General features: G+C 45.8%; 1 protein-coding gene and 1 pseudogene across 6 annotated transcripts in view, besides 2 other annotated features; both read left to right on the top strand.

Annotated features, from left to right (window-relative positions):
- The window catches only part of KANK4 (KN motif and ankyrin repeat domains 4), an 83270-nt gene that overhangs the window by 6401 nt on the left and 57442 nt on the right, over positions 1 to 19427 (top strand). The window lies entirely within an intron of this gene.
- Positions 3872 to 4558: an enhancer, noted in NCBI's record as "H3K4me1 hESC enhancer chr1:62774147-62774833 (GRCh37/hg19 assembly coordinates)". NCBI's record gives its function as "activates a minimal SCP1, AML or CMV promoter by ChIP-STARR-seq in primed H9 embryonic stem cells {active_cell/tissue: H9 hESC(primed)}" and the evidence as "EXISTENCE:reporter gene assay evidence [ECO:0000049][PMID:30033119]".
- On the top strand, positions 14778 to 14885 carry RNU6-371P (RNA, U6 small nuclear 371, pseudogene; annotated as a pseudogene).
- Positions 16828 to 16887: an enhancer, noted in NCBI's record as "active region_1115". NCBI's record gives its function as "activates an Ori minimal core promoter by ATAC-STARR-seq in GM12878 lymphoblastoid cells {active_cell/tissue: GM12878}" and the evidence as "EXISTENCE:reporter gene assay evidence [ECO:0000049][PMID:35858748]".

Genomic DNA, 19427 nt, shown 5'->3' with positions numbered 1-19427 from the left:
AACCATAGGTAACTGAAACTTCAGAAAGCGAAACTGCAGATAACAGGGGTTTGGGGGGGAACCACTGTATTGATGTCTAAGCACAGGTCTGGAAGGAGGCCAAGCATCCTTGAGGCAGTTGATACCGTGGAGAGGAGTTTGAGTTCAAGGTCATTCTTCCAGTACAGCTGGTCACTGGCCTACATTCTAAGTGCCATGGATTAACACAGCACCTGCCAACCCACCCCTTGCCCTACGATTGCACGAAGCTCTCTTTTGTTGCTGACTTCAAGTTCCAGAGAGCATCCTGATGTCTGAGCTGGTTCTCTGCAAGTGAGGCTTTCTCTCCAGTCTCTGTCTTGGCAGGTGCCAGGCAGCCAGGGCATGGGATGCCACTGTGGCAGGGGTCCTCCTTGGGCCAGTTGGATGAGAGGGGTGGGCAGAAGAGAGTCCTATGTGAAGAACTTTTGAGGCAGAAAGGGTGTGGGTGGAGATTCTTCAAGAAGGAGAGAAGGGTGAGCTGGAACTCAGAAATGTGCCCAGTAGAAATACTTACTGAGCCATAAAGGATCTAACAGAGATTCTTAACTTAGGGTCAAGAGCCCCAAGGGGTTCCCGTATAGAATTCAGAGGAGTCTGTAAACTTGGATAGGGGAAAAAAAGCATCTTTATTTAGGATTTTCTTGTATTACGAATGTAGGCAACAATCCACAGTGTATTTGCAGTCCCTGTGACATTGTCACCACTAGAAATCACAGATATTTTCATGTTACATTTTAGCTGCGACAGATACCTTGAAATATTATTTATGTCCCTGATGGCTTTGTATTTATAGTAGTTACTATACCTGCTGCCAGAGCTTGTTATTTAATGCATTAATAAAGAAGAATATATTACTATATTACACAATTTAAAAAATTTTATTAATTATATTTCAATATTATTGGTTTTCTTTGTAGTCAAGCTATGCATTTTATTTTATGCATTTTTAAATGTTCTGAGAAAGAGTCCATAGGCTTCACCAGTCTGCCAAAGGGATGAAGGCACAAAAAAGGTTAAGACCCCCGACAGGAAGTCAGTAAGCTTTATCCCCAATTTCCTACCCTCCCTCACCCTGACTTTTTATATACTCATCTGTCACTGTCTAATTAGTGGAAGACATTCTTAAGGAGTAGTAAATTTTATTTAATTGTTGGCAAATTTGCAAAAGCGCAGAATTTGTGGTTTGGGTAGAAGACTTTGATGTTATCTAGAGGTCAATTTACAAATTGCAGGCACACACGGCTGACTCATCGGGTAATTCTATCAGCCCACAAACCCACCAGCCCCTGAGCTGATTGCTTGGTTAATCCCATGCAAAGCAATCTACTGGAACAACCACCTAGCGCGCAATGATGATCCCGAGAGGTTAAGGAGTTTGTGTAGACTAACTGATGAATCCCTTGATCCAGTGCAAACTAGAATCCTAGGAAGGAGATGAAGCTGGTGAAGAAGTAGCTTTGAAGTGGGTTCTGAAATGGAGGGTATGCAAAGGAGGAGGAGGGAGGATGTGGAGGACTGGCCCCATGGTGATTTTGAGGAGGAAGCCAGGAAACAGGAGCGTCTACTGGAGCAATATTTATTAGAGTAGTGGTTGTGTTTTTTTTTGCTACCTTTTATCGAACTTGTGCCAGACACCGTGCCAAGACCTTTGAATATAGCAGTTGTTTCATCTTTACCCACTACTCAATAAGGTATGACTGTTATCATTCCCGTTGTATTGGTGAGCAAAGTGAAGCTCTAAGAGGTTAAACACTTGCTCTAGGGTACCCGAGATATCAAGTGGTGGAGCCAGGAGCTCAGCCTGCATCTGCCTGATTCTAGAAACTTGTTCTTGAAACCTACTACAGGCAACTGGGAAGAGTGTGTTTGGGAAAGCTCTGGCTGCCATATTCTTTTGGTAGGAAAGTGCTTACTATCCATCCTCATCTTCCCCAATCCATCTCTCTGGCCTTTGCTTGTTCTCACGCCAGTTCCTTCCCCTCCCACCCTTAACCCACTCACAGGCATACAGTCTGCAGGAGTGATGACAGAATAGAAATTACAAGCAAAAGCTGTGGAGTCAGGCAGAATGGGTTCTAATGCCAGCTCTGCTACCTGGCCATGACCATGCTGAACCTCAGTTTTTGTATTTGTGAAATGGAGATAATGGTGCTTGCCTAATTTTACCTATTCTCCCTCTAGTGCTTCAGCGCCATTTTGGGTAGTTCTTTCCATTTGGGTGGGAGGAACTAGACTTAGACTGGGTGAAATTGTCCCCATCTTCTCAGGTGAGCTCTTTTAGGAAGGCTTCCCTGATTTCTCTCCAACATGAGCAGCAGGCACTACTCATCATAGTACCTGGCTCTGGCCTTGTGAAGAGCTAATTGCTATTGCTGTGCATGGCTGTCCCTCTGTATAGAAGCTCCTTCTCCCCTTCCCAGTGCCCAGTGCCGCATCTGTCATGGAGGCCTTCTCAGTAGAACCTTGATAAAAGCAAATGAATTGTTTCTTTCATTCCCCCTTTCAGGGAATTTGCCCATTCTTGGCACCCCAGCCCCCCAAACCCCTTTTCTGGTCTCCGTCACCTAGAGCTTGTCCCTCACCTTTCTTTGGCCCCTGCTGCTTTCTCCCTCTCTCTCCAGTCCTCCCTGCATCCTACCTTGGCCATTAATGCTGCTGCTCCAAGTGCCAGATGCACTAGGCTCCTACGCAATTTTGTATTAGTTGAGGGTGGAAGAAACCTTACCACTTACCTAGATCGTCCCCCTTGTCTTACAACTGAGGAGCGAACCAGAGAGGGCAGGTGGCAGGCCCTGGGTGGCAAGGGGATTGAATGACTGAGCTGAGTGAGGACTTTTGCCCCAGTTTGCTGCCCTGCCCTGGGACTGATGATTCCACGTGGTTAAGTGACTGATATTTTGGACAAGGGAACAGGGGAGGAGCACATTCTTCTTCAGGTGCTTGCTTGCCTTGCTGTAGTGCCTGCCTCGGGGCTGGCCTTCCCTGACTTAATCCTCTTCTTCATTCTATCCCCATGTCCCTTGGCTTTGCCGACTGCTGAATGGAGCCCTGTGTCAGCCAGGCCTGTGGGTGGCCGCCTTCGGGTGATGCTTGCTGGTGCCAAAAGGCTCCTGCCCTGAGAGCTCTGCCCACTGGCAGAGAAATTCCCCGCTTTTGAACCATTGCTTTGGGCTACTTTGTCTTCTCCAGGCAGCTCTTGTTAAAATGTAGATGTGTTACCTGGAAGGAGAACCTGTTAGTCCATCGCAGTGTGGCCCGTGGAAGAGTGAAATTCCCCTGGCCTTGGCTAAGTCACATCGCTGCCCTATCCTCAGCTTCCTATCTGTAAAATGGGGACAAAAAAGATTGTATTATAGGGTTACCCAAGATGAAATGAGATAGTGCACTTAAAGCCCTTGGCACATAATAACTAGTTAATAAAATTAGCTTTTTTAAAAAAATTTAAGTAATGTAGTCTTCTTTCAGTTGAAGGTTTCTTTTTCCTTTCTAATTATAAAGTGGTTTTGAAGTTAACTTTCTTGCCTTTAAAATAGGGTAAAAGATCCTACTTCACTGGTGTGTCGAGGATTTATTGAGCTAAACTGCCTGTGGATGCTACCAGGTCTGCCTGGGATTCTCAATGAGAGCCTGGTGCTGTGGTCTGAAAGCTGGTATCCTCCCAGAATTCATATGTTGATGTTCTAATCCCCAATGTGATGGTATTAGGACATGCAATCTTTGGGAGGTAACTTAGGTCATGAAGGTGGAGCCCTCACAAATGGGATAGTGCTCTTAGAAGAGAGAGCTCTGTCAACCCTTCTGTCATGTGAGGACACGCCAGATGCCAACAGTCTGCAAGCTGAAAGAGGGACCCCACCAGAACCCAGCCATGCTGGCACGCTGATGGCATTCTCCGAGCCTCCAGAACGGTGAGACATACACACATCTTTTGTTTGGAAGCCACCCATCTTATGGTAGTTTGTGATAGCAGCCCAGACAGGCTAAAACACCTGGTATTCTTCAAGTTATCCTGGAGGTGAGGATTGAAAGCCCCTGGGAGCCCCAAGGGAGGTTCTGGGACGGTCCCTAAGGGAGGAGATGGAGGAAAAAGAGGCAGGAGAATCAGAAGTCAGGGGGACCCTGCTCCTCCACCCCAGCTGCTTAGATGCCAAGTCTGGGTGGGAGGGGACTTAGGAATCTGCCTTTCTCTGGGAGGGTTTGGGCCCTGTGACATTTTTCCCAGATCGTTGCCTTCTAGGCAAGTTCTCTGAGGTGCTGAGTTCCCTGGGGAGAGGTGCCCTCGGTGTTCCCTCCCTGGCTTGACTTTGGGGGTGGTGGTTGTGGTGGTGGTAGCAGGAAACCAGAGTTTTCCTTAACCCTCTGATCTTGGGATGAGTGTTGGTGGGTGCTGGAAACTGCTCCTTTGAGAGGGTGGCTGGGCTTTTGAGAATGTCAGCCTGGCTAGATTCTTTGTGATTCCTCCTGAGACCAGGATAGTTCTCTCCAACCTGGACCAGGAGAGAGATCAGGAGCAGGAGCACCTGGCCCAGGCTCCTGGCTGGTGAGTGAGGAGGGGTAGGGGGTGCAGCTGCTCAGGAGTTTTCTGGTAACCAGCATAGACTCACTTCAGGGCTCTCTACAGGATCCTCCCACCCCTGCTCTTGTCCTGACTGCAGAAGGCACATTATCTGGCCAGGCAGCCGCCCTGGGCAATAGGAGGTCATTAGGCCCCTCTCCATGCAGGCGCCTGTGTGAGCCTCTCCAGCCGGCTTTCCTGTTAGCCTCTGGGGAAGGTGCGTCCCCACTGTCATCCATCATAACTGTAGTTAGCCTTCCAAAGCAGAGCCTGAATCATGCAGAAAACACTTTTCCCTAGGGCGCTAGAGACCAGGAGCAAAGGGCAGGCAGAGGTGAATGCTGGTTCCTGGGGCCCAGAGACCAAGCTGCAACCTGCCACTTGCCAGTCTGATAGAAAAGACAAAAAAGGGCATCCTACAGGGTGGATACGGGGTGAGCAAAGGCACAGGGGTGTTAAGGCAGGGGGTGAGGTGTGAGTGGCATTTATGAAGGGCAGAGGAATTGGAGATGAGGCTAGAGAGGTATGCAGAGACAGCCTTCAGGGCCTAGCTGGCAGGCACATGGGTGGCATTTGGCTTGCATTTGGGTTCTGTTTGACCTTCATAGCATTTTTTAAAAAAGAAGAATTCTGTCAACATTTAAAAATCAGATTTTACATAAATCTACATGTCTAGCTTCTTTTGAAAAAAAAAAAAAATCAGGTCTGGCAACACTAGCCTTGAGTCACTCCCACCATGGCCACACCTGGCTGGAAGGTGAGCAGTGGACCTTCGGTGATGGCTGGGGTCCCACAGCCAACTGGCTTGTCTGAAATCTCTGCCATAAGCTTACTGTGGAGTTATTACAATGTTCTCAGAATGTTAATGTGTTACAGGGGAGGAGAAAGGAAATTCTAAACTATTCACATTATAGTCTGTTTATCAGATTAGGAAATGAATTTTAACTACTCCTCAGGAATTTTTTTTTTTTTTTTTTTGGCAGAGTCTCTTTCTGTCACCCAGGCTGGAGTGCAGTGCTGCGATCTCAGCTCACTGCAACCTCTGCCTCCTGGATTCAAGCCATTCTCCTTCCTCAGCCTCCCAAGTAGCTGGGACTGCAGGTGTGCACCACGACGTCCGGCTAATTTTTGTATTTTTAGTAGGACAAGGTTTCACCATGTTGGCCCGGCTGGTCTCGAACTCCTGACCTCAGGCGATCTACCCACCTCAGCCTCCCAAAGTGCTGAGATTACAGGTGTGAGCCACCGCACCGGACTCCTCAGGAAAATTTTGATTGTGGGTTGAGAAGCAGTTAGGTGGGGCAAATGGGATGCTTCCTGCATGATGGCCTGGGAAGGAACCTGGACGAAGTGAAGGTGGGGCCAGGACATCTGGAAAGATGGAATGACGGGTAGGCCTGTTTGCTTTCAGCTGCAGTGTCTGGCATCTTTACTGGGGATGACACCAAAACACCCACCCTTGGCCAATATTTATTGTATTGTAAGATGTTTACTATCTTACTTTATTATCCTTTTAAGCTTAAAAAGAAGGACAGAGTGAAATGTTTCTGTGTGTTTGTGTGTTTAATTGCTACAGAAACTAATACAAAGAGAATTTTTAGGAATAATTTGGAAAAGGAGGAGAGGAAAAGAAATTATTATTATGTTATATTATATTACTATTCCTCTAAATAATGTGTATGTTGGAGGGGGTGGCCTTTACAATTTGAAAGGCTTTGTGAACACTATTGGGAATTTTTTTATTAAAAATTATTATAAATATCATACCAGTTAGCAGCAAACATTGAAAAATATATAGAGGTAATGAGTTATGATCATGCCACTGCACCTCTGCCTGAGCAACAGGGATAGAGAATCTGTTTAAAAAATGATAATAATAAAATAATGTAGAAGCATATAAAGGCAAAAACTTTAAACTGTCAAGAACTGGTGGTTAGAGCATATAGACCAGTTTGGAGGAAATTGATCTAGTTTGGCACTGTATATATATGATATGTAACTACATATTCTTATATAGAGCTAGATACATATCCAGATATATTTGTATAGAAAATTTTTTAAATAAAAATGGGGCTTACCTATTGTCCTGCTGTTTTTTTCCTCATACTCCATCTTGAACATATTGCAAGTCATTAATTATGTCTGGGTCTGAGTAAAGAAAGTCTGTGGTCTAGGTGCAGTGACTCATGCCTGTAATCCCAATGCTTTCAGAGGCTGAGGCAGGAGGATCGCTTGAGGCCAGCAGTTTGAAACCAGCCTGGGCAACATAGTGAGACCCCTATCTCTACAAAACATAAAAATAAAAATTAGCTGGGCATGGTGGCACATGCCTGTAGTCCCACCTACTTAGGAGACTGAACCAGAAGGATCGCTTGAGGCCAGGAGTTTGAGGCCACAGTGAGCCATGATGGCACCACTGCACTCCAGCCTGGGCAGCAGAACAGGACCTTGTGTTAAAAAGAGAGAGAGAGAGAGAGTCTGTAATGGGAAACACTACTAAATAGAAAGAGCTAGTCCTGAATCCCCACTGGGCACCTCCAAACCTTAGTTGCCAGTTCTTTTAAATGGAGATGATAATTCCTTCCTTCAAAGGTTCTACTGAGGGTTAAATAAAATGTGAATGTGTTCAAAGCAGCTTTTTGGGTACTGGGTTATCAGAGCGCAATGCAGTGTCAGGAGAAAGCAACCCCTGCTTAACATCTTCCATTCTTTGGATTCCCGATTTTTCTTCCTTCACCGTGTTGCAGGAGGGTTCAGAGGGCCAGTGAACCTTGGATGAGTTATAACTTTCACAGTGGAGCTTAAAATCCTCCTTTCAGTGCTGTTTAACATTAAAATCTCAAGCAGGGGCAGGCATGGTGGCTCACACCTGTAATCCCTGAACTTTGGGAGGCTGAGGCAGGTGGATCACCTTAGGTCAGGAGTTCAAGACCAGCCTGGCCAACATGGCAAAACCCCATCTCTACTAAAAATACAAAAAAATTAGCCAGGCTTGGTGGCAGGCGCCTGTAATCCCAGCTACTTGGGAGGCTGAAGCAGGAGAATTGCTTGAACCCGGGAAGCGGAGGTTGCAGTGAGCCGAGATCACGCCATTTCACTCCAGCCTGGGCGACAAAGCGAGACTCTGTCTCAAAAAAGAAAAAAAAAATCTCAAGCAATTCATCAACAGCTGCATTCGGGTTTTGTTTAGGACATTTTCCCTGGAATCACTTTTATTTATTCAGCTGCAGGAAAATTTCTGAAGCCAGGTAGGTATGTGGTGTTCTCTGATAGGAAGGCTTTGGCCTGTGCTGGCTCTTGGGGAGATGGAGGTGCCCTCCTGCCGTAGGAAAGGTCAACCCCTCTTAGTACAATGGAGGGGATTCACAGCTTGTCTTTGCAAGTGACACCTCCTTCCTGCACCCTCCTTTTCCGTTTTCACATCTCTTCTGCTTCCCTCTCTAGATTACAATATTCCCTTTCATTTGGATATCACTTCGTCTTTAGCAAAGCACTTGTACTCCCATTATCTCATTGAACCCTCTGGCAAGTCTATAGACTTAGGACAGTAGTGGTAGGTAGCAGATAAGCAGCTGAGGCCCAGAGAAGTTGTGATATGCCTTAAACTCACACAGCAGAAATTGGACAAATCTGAGTTAGGATCTGGATTTCCTGGCTCACAAGCCATGCCGGTCGCGCTGTATCATATTGCCTCCTTTCTTAATTGTTGGCAGGAATCTCCTGAAAGGGGAGGCTGTTGGCGAGGGGGCGGGTAATCGGCCCCAGTGCTGGCTGGTTGGGAGAGGCTTTTTGGAATGCATGAGGTTGTTGGGCTTAGTGTCCTAAAGAGACTGGTGGGAGCAAGCGAAGAGGATGGGGCTGGGTGGGGCAGTTTGGAGGTCACCTGAGGTCAGTGGAGGGGGCAGACAGGAGCTGGGGAAGTTAAGGCCCAGTGCAGAGCTAGAAGGGGAGAATCCTGGATTGGAAGCAGGTCCAGGGTCCTTCTTGTCATCACTGGAAGGCTTGTGGGCTTTTTTGACATTTGGTCTCATTTTGGATGTTTGGCCCTTTTCTTGCCCCCATCAGTGGCACATCATAAAAATCTGCTTCTGGTATCCCAGTGAGCACCTCTTTCTTATTTCAGGTCACAGCTCCCTGGCACTCCATTCCCATGTCCAACAAATCAAAACTTATCAGTTCTGTTGCTATTCAGATCAACGTCTTGGTTAAATGGGCCTAAAACATTCATTTAGCCCAAATTTGGTATATGGACCAGCTCTTGCCAATAGAAATAGAATCTGAAGGTCCGGGCATGGTGGCTCATGCCTGTAATCCCAGCATTTTGGGAGGCCAAGGTGGGCAGATCACTTGAGGTCAGGAGTTCAAGACCAGCCTGGCCAACATGCGGAAACCCTGTCTCTACCAAAAAATACAAAAATTAGCGAGGCATGGTGGTGTGTGCCTGTAGTCCCAGCTACTTGGGAGGCTGAGGTTGGAGAATCGCTTGAACCTGGGAGACGGAAGTTCCAGTGAGCTGAGATTGCACCATTGCACTTCAGCCTGGGTGACAGAATGAGAGCCTGTCTCAAAAAAAAAGAAAAAAAGAAAAAGAATTTGAAATACATTTTAAGTTTTCTAGGAGTACATTAAAGAAAATAAAAAGAAAACAGGTGAAATTAATTTTAATATATTTTATTTAACCCAATATATCCAAAATATTATCATTTCACCATGTGATCAGTACCAAAAAAAGAGAAATTTTATATTCATTTTTTCATATTAAGTCTTTGAAATTCAGGTGTACTTTACACTTACAGCACATTTTAATTCAGACTAGCTACATTTCAAGTGCTCAGTAGTTAGTTAAGTAACATGTAGTTAGTTAGCCACTAACATGTAGTTGGTGGCTACGATATTGGGCAGCAGAGTTATGAACCAAGACGACTTAGTTTGGGATGGGCGGTGGGTGCTTTTGGGCACCTTTGTAATTAGGGTGCCTTTGGGTCGGGGGGCTGGTCAGGAAACCTCAGCTATAACACATCATGGCTGCTCGCCCTGTCCTCACCTTTGCACTTGTTGGTATGGATGACATGATGTTGAAAATACCGCCCCTCCCCATTATGCCAGCTATCATGCCCTTCTTTGTGCCCTACAATCTCCCTCTCTCAACTCCTTTGACTTTTGTCAGCCCCATCCTGGATTAAACTTTACTGTCCCATTTCTCTGACCCTGTCTTGGGACTGCTGGATCCATTAAATCCATGCCCTTTGACTTCATCTGCTACTTGGCATCCTCCATGTGTGTCAGCTGCCTCTCATCCCAGTATCCTCACTGACTATTGCAAACCTCATCTACACTTCGTAAGTTCCCAAGTCCATTCACACAGCCCTCAGTCTCAGCTCTTGATCTCTTCCTACCTGAGAAGATGGAGATCATGTGGCTTAAACTTCCTCATTCCCACCTTGCTGTTTTTCTCCATCTTTGCTCTCCACTCCCCTGCCAAAGCCAAACTTTGAAAGCCTTCTCTTCCCACCTCCAGAAACTCTAGCAGACTGGCCCTTTGGGTAAAAGCCATGAACTCTTAAGCCAGAGCTTTTGGCTTCAAATCTCAGATTCTCCTACTGCTAACCTGGGTAAACTATTTCACCTCTGTCTTAGTCCATTTGGGTTGCTATTACAAACTACCATAGACGGGGTGGCTTATAAATTTTAATAAATTTTATTTCCCACAGTTCTGGAGGCTGGAAGTCCTGGGTCAAAGCGCTGGCAGATTCCACGTCTGGGGGACAACCCTCTTCCTGGTTCATAGACAGTTGTCTTCTTCTGAGTCCTCAGTTGGTGGAAGAGGCCAGGGAGCACTCTGGGGACTTTTTTATGAGGACATTAACCCCATTCATCTGCTCTATCTGCCCAAATCCCTATCTCCTAATACCATCACATTGGGGGTTAGGATTTCAACATACGAATTTTAGAGGGGGCTCATTCAGTCTGTAAGCACCCTCTCTTTGCCTAGTCTTCTCATTGTAAAATATGAAATAAAATAATAAAAGCATCTAGCTCCTAAGGTAGTGGTAATGAGTAAATTCAACATGTGTTGCATCTTTTATTTAGCACAGTGCCTGGAGTAAATGTCGACTCCTATGCCAGCTCCTCTTTCTTGCATCTAGAAGTCCATCCTTCTCCCTCGGCTTCTTCCTCCAGACCTGCAAACATGCTCGCCTTTCCCAGAGCTCACCTTGTCCCTCCCTGGAGCTACTGTCCCTTTCTCTCCTGAATTGCACTGGAAAACAGCCAAAGCGTAGCCCATCTGCTGCTTCAACCATCTTGTCAACCCTTGACGTCTGCCTCCTGCTCTTTTGAAACTAAGCCCGAGCCTCACATGGTCTTCAAGTTCCACAGCATCTGACATCATAGAACAGTCTTCTCAAAACTGACCCCCTTTGTGTTTCTGAGCTGTACCCCATCCTGGCTCTTCCTTCTTACCTGTTCCCCATGCATGACTGTCTTCAGGGGTGCTCCTCAGACTCCTCTGCTTGCTCTTGCTTCTCACCACCCCCCACCCCCAACCACGTGGTGATCACACGGAAATGGATGGCTCTTGAATCTACATCTCTAAGCTTCAGGTTTCTCCCTTGTCCCAGCTGTTAGGTGCCAAGTGCTTTCTTCCTTGCTTTCTCTCTGGTTGGTGACCTTTCAATCCCCACTGCAGGCACTGTGATAAGCATTTTACATACCTCATCCCAATTCATCTGTGTAATCCTATAAGGAGGAAATTGTTTTTTTCTCGTGTTAGCTATTTGGACGCTGGGCTGGCAGTAGAGGCGGTGGGCGCAGTTAGGGAACCTAAACACACACTGGTAAGTGGCAGAGCTGGGATTCAGACCCGGATCCACACACTCCAAAGCCCACACCCTTAATCTTTGTGCTTTCCTGCCTCTGTCCGGTCTAGTCCCAGGCTACGCTGTTTTCATAATTTAATAAGCGGTGGGTGCTGAATACCACTCATGTATGTCAGACATTCTTCTGTGCCTGTGTTGTTTGTGTGTCGGTGTTCTGTTCACCTTGCTGTTGGCCAGGTTCATCACTGGTTAATTTCAGTCTATGTCTGGACCTTTGGTGTTAGTACCTGAAAATCTTAACTGAGCCCAGGTCCCTGCTGTGCAATGCAAGAACCCAGTAGTAGGAGCGTGCACACATTTCCACATAGTGCATATGTTTCTCTTTCTCCCAGTCTCCCCATCTGTGAAATGAGAGAGTTGAACTCGGTAATTGCAGGAGCCTGTCCAGCTCTTGTGCTCCGTAAGTCTGTTTCATGTTCTGCTTACCTGGAGCCTACTGTGTTCCCAGCACATGATAGATGCTTTTGGGCAATGCTGAGAGAACACAAAAGGCATTGAGCTGTCACGGAGCCGAAACTCAGTCAGGAAGACAAAGCCAACACTCATGAAACTGCCAACCATGTAAGACGTTATGTAATTATGCCTGCAATTTCAGATTATATACATTTGTAATGGTTCAGTACAGGAGAAGAAAAGCTTCTGTTCTCTTACAAGAAAAAAAATAAATAAAAGGAGCATTTAGGGAAAGGTATTAAGTCTGGCCAGACTGCTTGCCAGACTTGCTATTTCCCTCTTGAAGTCAGTTGTTCATTCTGTAAATATTTATTGAATGTCTACTAATAGTCCAGAATCTGGGGACATACGCCCCTCATTGCAGTCAGAGTTGTATTTAAAACCCAGCTTTCGTCTTGTTCCTCCCTGCTTAAGAACTTTTGATGGTTTCCTATTCTAGAAAATAAAATGAGCTGACTTCCAACCTCTGTCTTCCGCCATCCGCTTCCCCGACCCTGTACTCTAGGCCAGGATTGCTGGTCATTCTTCAAGCCCACCATACATGTTTTCATCTCTAGCTAGAGAGCTGCTTCTCCCATCTGCCTGCTTAACTTTTACTCATCCTTCAACGCCCAGCTCAAAAATACCAGATCTGTGATGTTTTTCTGATCCTCTGAGATGCTCCAGCCACACCTCTCTAACACCACATAGGTCCTTGTTTAGGTCTCTGCCTCCCATTTTGGACGGTGAGTTCCTTAAAGAAAAGAACCCTGTCTTTTTCATCCATGAGTCCACAGAACCTAGCCCAGTGCCTGAAGAAGAATTTCTGATAAATGGATGATTGCACACAATCTGTCGAGGCTGGTCTTTGAACAGAAAAGGGTCTCTTTTCTTCTTTCCTCAAGTTACTGGGCTATTGAACTTCATGCCTTGTGGCCAGTGAAGGGGACTCAATGGTTGAGAAAGCATTGTGGTCTCTTTCTCTGAGCAGTCGTGGAGAGACTGGAGCCACTGGAGCCTCACTTTTGCCCTGGAGGGGGACTTTCAGCAGCAGCAGCAGCTGAACCCACATACACCAGAGGACTGTGGTGAAGGAGGCATTTGTGTTGGGCTTGGCAGGTGGGAGGCCTTTGTGTTCCAGAGCACAAGTGGGTAAGTATGTCGGACAGGCTGCAGGCTGCACACACATGCCGAGGGGCTGGGCCCAAAACGCCTTCTGACCTGGGAAGAAAAGGAGGCATTGTGTGCACTGGCAGCACTCCAAGGGAAATATTCCAGTTGTTCTATTTTGAACGGCTCACTCTTTTAAAAAAGAAAAGTCCAGAGGTGAACATCTCTCTCCCACTCCAAAACATCCTACCTACAAATTTCAAATCATTTGCTACCCTCAAAATATGAATTAATCCATTATTTAAATAATTCATTAATTCAGCTGCTACATCTTTATGAGGCAGCACTATGGTCAGCATTGTACTAAGCACTTGGGAAACAGAAGTAAAGAAGACACGGTCCTCATCACTGTAGGCTCTATTCCTGATTGCTTGCTGGGTGTCTAAATCCTTTTGGAACCTGGTCCCGCCCCTTCTCTTGTGCCTGATTTTTCTCTGCTCCTTGGCAATCCTTCCTTGAGGCTTCTGTCTGCTGCTGCCCATTCTCTACCTCTGCACCCCCGGTCCTGTACTGTGCCATGTTGTGGGGTCATCAGGTACCAGCTCACCACCTTTTCTAGACTCAGGTGGGCACAGACAGAACCAGGCTTCAGTCTGGGCCATTAAGAGCTTGGGCAGTTGTCTGGGTGTGTCACTCATGCCTGTAATCTGAACACTTTAGGAGGCTGTGGCGGGAGAATCACTTGAGCCAGGACTTTGAGACCAGCCTGGGGAACATAATGAGAGCCTGTCTTTACAAAAAATTTTTTAAAAATTAGCCAGGCATCATGGCATGCACCTGTGGCCCCAGCTACTCTGGAGGCTGAGGCAGGAGGATCACTTGAACTTAGGAGGTCGAGGCTAGATTGAGCTGTGATTTTAACCACTGTAATCCAGCACTCCGGCCTGGGCAACAGAGCAAAACACTGTCTTAAAAAAAAAAATCTTGGGCAGGAACACCTAAATTCATCCCTAGCTCTGCCTTTTACTATCTTTGTGACTATGACCAAGTTACTAAGCCTCTCTGAGCTTAGGCTTCCTATTCTGTTAAACAGAAAAAAAAAAATAATACATAGAGACATAGAGTCTTTGAGAAGAGTAAATAATAATAGTGTAGTACTTGGCACAGTGCCTAATATACCACACAACAACTCTCAATAAATAATAACAAAACAACTGACTTTTATTGGGCACTTACCAGTTTCTTCCTTCCCTCAAAAACAACAGCAACCACAGCTTGTATTTCAGTGTCTTCTACATGCCAAGTACTGTGTAAGGTATAGGCATGTAGCCATCAGAACAGCCTTATACAGTGGAGAGTGTTACTTTGTACCATTTTATAGCTGAGGAAGCTGGCTTCAAGGGCTAGAGTGACTTACCCAAGGTCACACGGTTTCAAGTGCTGGTGCTAGGAATCATGATTAGGGCTGTTGAGCTCCTTCCCATTCCTCCCCAACCAGACAAATACCCTGACCACACACTTTGCTACTTGGTGCTGGGACCAGCAGATCAGCATCTCTTGAGAGCTTGTTGGAAATGCCAACTATGAGGCCCCACTCCAGACCCACCAAATCAGCATCTGCATGTTAACAAGATCTTCAGGTTTATAGGCATACTACAGTTTGAGAAACAATGAACTACAGTTTACCAAAGATTTTTAACAGTAGGTTAGAACAGTACTTCTCAAACTATCGTGTGCATAAAAATTACCTGGAGGGCTGGCTGGTTAGAACACAGATTCCTGTGTTCACTTCAGCAGCAAATATACCAAAATTGGAATGATACAGAGACGATCAGCATGGCCTCTGCACAAGGAATGACACAAAAATTCATGAAGCATTTCATATTTAAAAAAGAAAAAGCCCCACAGATTCCTATCCCTGTGATTCTGATTTTGTATCCATTGCTTATTATTGACAGGGAGGACCATCGTGCTCCCGAGTTAACAAGGCAGGAGCTGTGGATGCCTGCATCAGCCATTCCACCCTCCTCCTGCCCTGCCTAGAGAACAACAGAGAAACGAAATTAATCTGTAACCTAAAACCCTTGTATCTGCCCTGAAAATATGTCTTTCTAATGGAAAATTTGACAGAGTGTTCCATCTGCAAAGAGCATTTTATATGAAATGGATATCTGTGTAACTCAACTGCTGCTATCTGGTTAAATAGCAATTAAACACCTCAAGACTCCTTGGAACTTTCAAAGATTACTTGAAAAGTAATTGTGTTTTATTGATTAAATAATTTGCAGTGGATTAGAAAGTCACTGAATTTTTTAGCTATTCCTTCACAAGTAAATTGGTCTTATTTAGAGACCCAGCGTGTCCCCAACCATGTTTATATTTTAATAATCGCCTGATGTTTAATAGCATGGCTGGTGGTGGAATTTAATGCTAGATTCGTTCCTTTGCTAAATCCTTCTATCTGGTTCTTTCTGTTTCTATTTAGACTTCCGAAAGCTACTTGCTTCATAGATGGCTACAGAAATAGGACCCAAAAGGCAAAGAACACTGTTGTTAAGAGCTCGGTCTCTGGAGTCAGACAAACCTCAATTTGAATTCCAGTCCTGCCACTTACTAGATTTGTGCCCCTGAACCTGTGATCTGTGAAAAGGATATAATAGCACCTACCTAATATGGTCATCCTGAAATTAAATAAGTTAGCATTTGTACAATATAGGACAACAGTATCTAGCTAGCAATAATAATTATTATTATTATAACAGTGTAAGTATTTACTAGTATTTTTTATTTACTTATTTATTTTTTGAGACGGAGTCTCACTCTGTCACCTAGGCTAGAGTGCAGTGGTGCAATCTCAGCTTGGTGCAACCTTGGCTCACTGTAACCTCCGTCTCCCGGGTTCAAGCTATTCTCCTGCCTCAACCCCCTGAGTAGCTGGGACTATCGGTGCGCATCACCACACCCGGCTAATTTTTGTATTTTTAGTAGAGACGCGGTTTCACCATGTTGGCCAGGCTGGTCTCAAACTCCTGAACTCAGGTGATCCACCCGCCTCGGCCTCCCAAAGTGCTGGGATTACAGGCGTGAGCCACTGAGCCTGGCCTAGTACTAGTATTATTAAGCCCTAGTTTTCTAATCTATAAAATGAGTGTACAGGGAATAAAACCATCAACATATGAGTATTAAAAACATCTTTGCAGCCAGATGTGGTGGCTCACGCCTATAATCCTAACACTTTGGGAGGCCAAGGCGGGTAGATCACTTGAGCCCAGTAGTTCAAGACCAGCCTGGACAACATGCCAAAACACTGTTTCAAAAATTAGCCGGGCATGGTGGTGTGCACCTGTAGTCCCAGCTACTCAGGAGACTGAGGCAGAAGGATCACCTGAGCCCAGGAGATTGAGGCTGCAGTGACCTGTGGTTATGCCACTGCACTCCAGACGGGGTGTCAGAGCGAGACCCTGTCTCAAAAAAACAAAAACAAAAACCAAAAAAACCACCAAAAATAATTTCTGTGCTTTCGGAGCCTTCTAAGTAATTTCCTACAAAGGACACTTCTGGCAGAGCTTTCTTGGCTGTTATCCCTCCATTATTATGCAGATTGAGGTCATTCAGTGATGAAAAAGCCATGGACAAATGGAGCCAATATTGGAATTCCCAATGAAGGGGCCAGAGAGAGGCTGGCAGTGGAGGGATGAGTAGATGCCAGAGGCGGGGGAGGTGAGGGAGTGAAGAACCAGGTGGGAGGATTCACATAAGGATGTTGGGGAACGGCACACACTGCTGCTGGGGCAGTCACTCTGCTGGAAATAGACACCTAGAACAGCAGAGATGGGAAAGAAAAAATTTAAGACTTTTGCTTCGTGCTAAGAATGCACTTCCCGTTTGGTATTTTCTCTAGAGACCGCAGTGAAGGTTTGGATTGCTTCCAATTAACTTTTTTCTCCTTAACTGCTGATTCTTTGAACACAGCCCTGAACTGAGGCTGGGCCATGAGGCAGCATCTTTATCTGGTTTACAGAGGAGTCGTGCCCAGGTTGTCCTAGGCACTGAGTAAGGATGGGTAAAGGACTTACCCAGGACAGAGTCAATACTTAATTGATGTTGGCAACTATTTTTATTGTTATGCGTTATACTTTCCCTGCAGCCAGAGGCTGCAAGCAAAGATCACCAACAGAAGTATGAGCAGTTCTCTGGCACACTTTACCACAATAAAAACTCCATTATTCCACATTTAAACTGGGGACGCTGGCCACATTCTTTTTAAAGAAACCATCAATTCCATGTCCTCCAATATCACACTGAGGACCAGTACATGAGATTTGTAAAGGAAAGCACTGGGTTAGGAGTCTCAAAAGCAGACTCTGACCTTGGCCCTGCTGTATGAGGTGGGCAGGTCATTGAGCCTCAGTTGCCCCTTTATGGGTGCAAATGTCGTCCAAGACCCTGTTTTATATTTCTCTCCTCCCAACAGTAGATAATCAGTGGACTGATTGAACATAAAGGATACCCAGGAGCACAAAAGGGGAACCTTGATTTGAAAGAGCCCATAACCTGGCTGGAAGAAAAGATGTGAGCAAGGCCAGGTGCAGTGGCTCACCCCTGTAATCCCAGCACTGTGGGAGGCCAAGGCGGGTGGATTGCCTGAGCTCAGGAGACCAGCCAGGATTGCCTGAGACCAGCCTGGGCAACATGGCGAAACCCTGTCTCTACTAAAAATACAAAAAAATTAGCCGGGCTTTGTGGCGGGCGCCTATAGTCCCTGTAGCTACTTGGGAGGCTGAGGCAGGAGAATCGCTTGAACCCGGGAGGTGAAGGTTGCAGTGAGCCAAGATGGCGCCACTGCACTCCCGCCTGGGCGACAGAGCAAAATTCCATCTCAAAAAAAAAAAAGAAAAGATGTGAGCAGAGTCACTAATAAAAGTCTGCCTATGCTATGCTCCAAATGCCCCACCATTCTGTGACACCTTTGAGCTGCTCCGTGGGGTGATATAAACCTGGGTGATATTGTCAATTTTGGCAATGCCTTTTCTTAGTAACTTTGCCCACATTAAAGCAAAACAAAACCCAGGCCACAACAATATATAACCTTCCTTTGTATTACCGGATGGAACACTGAAGGAATCCCATCTCTTTCAAGGGAAAGTTGAAGTTCAGAGAAGTTCCTGGTGCACTTCATCTCTCCTGAAGTCTCTTTGATTCATCTCTGATGATACCTGCCCTTCCTCTGGCTGGCATGCTGCCGAGGCTGGGTGGTCACCATCTTTGCTGGACCCACATCACACATGTCCGCTTCTTGTCAGACTGAACTTGCCAGAGGGTTAGGTGGGGCATTGTGAAATAATAACAGCTTTCCCGCCTGAAAAATCTGGAAACATCGCTTTCTCCACCCAGGTTCTGGGGATCACTTAGCCTCAGTTTGGTTTAAACTGATTTTCCTGAATGTGCAGCCTGTGCATATTTGAGCCAACAAAAACCTTCCTCCCAACCCAGAAGGCAGATGCAACAGCCCACGCAAGCTCTAAACTGTCTGCACCTGCAACTCGAGCTGTGGCACCCAGCTGATGCCTGCAGAGGCATCTGCTGAATTCTGGACCAGGGATGATGCTGCTCGGATGGGAGCTGCCCAAAGAGGGTGGGTGCAGGGGTGCCCCCCTGTGGAGTATTTGTGCCTACCCTTGAGAGGCTTTCGCTGAAGTGACCCAGGAGGGAGGAAGTGGAGCTGAATTCCTAGGAAACATTTACTCCAAATTGTGGTTTCCAAGCCCTCTGGACTGTAGCCCAGTTCAGGGGAGCAAAAGACTTTGTGGCCCACTGAGTCCACTCGCTCCTACTTTGCAGTGGGAGAGAATTTGGTAGTAACAAAGGATTAAAGGAGAAGAGAAAACTAATCAAAGTAATGCAGCAAATACTCAGGACAACAATCAACAGAAACTCCTAAAAGTAATTTTATAAGTAATGTAAATTAATAGAGTAGAAGCAGTTTAAAACCAAGAGATTGCCGATGCTGCGTTGTAGCCATTAAGGGTCACGGTTGCGAACACCAGAACCTGCTCTAGCAGGCCTATCTATTTATAATAGAAGAGGAATTTATTAAGGGATATGAAGTAGCTGAACATCACGCCACCATCTCCCCATAGTCACTTGCTGTAAATTCCAGTTTCAATCTTGGGGAGGTGGGTCTTCTGAGAAGGAAATAACCAAGTATAGGAAGGGTGTTCACAAAAGTGCTGGGTAGCTGAAGAAAAGCACACAACAAATGTCTTCTGCACTAATACCAAAACGCCCTTCCTGAGAATTGGAATTCCACCTCTTAGGCTGGGTGCATACACAGGAGTTTCGCTGTATTGTTTAGTGATGGATGGTGGTCACCTTTCTTTACAGAATAGAAAATGAATATTCTCAGTAAACTCTTCTAACACACTAATTTT

This window comes from Homo sapiens, chromosome 1 (assembly GCF_000001405.40).
Source record: "Homo sapiens chromosome 1, GRCh38.p14 Primary Assembly".
Classification (NCBI taxonomy): Eukaryota; Metazoa; Chordata; class Mammalia; order Primates; family Hominidae; genus Homo; species Homo sapiens.
Note: the sequence above shows the minus strand (reverse complement) of the source record. Positions and strands in the feature narration are given on the sequence as shown.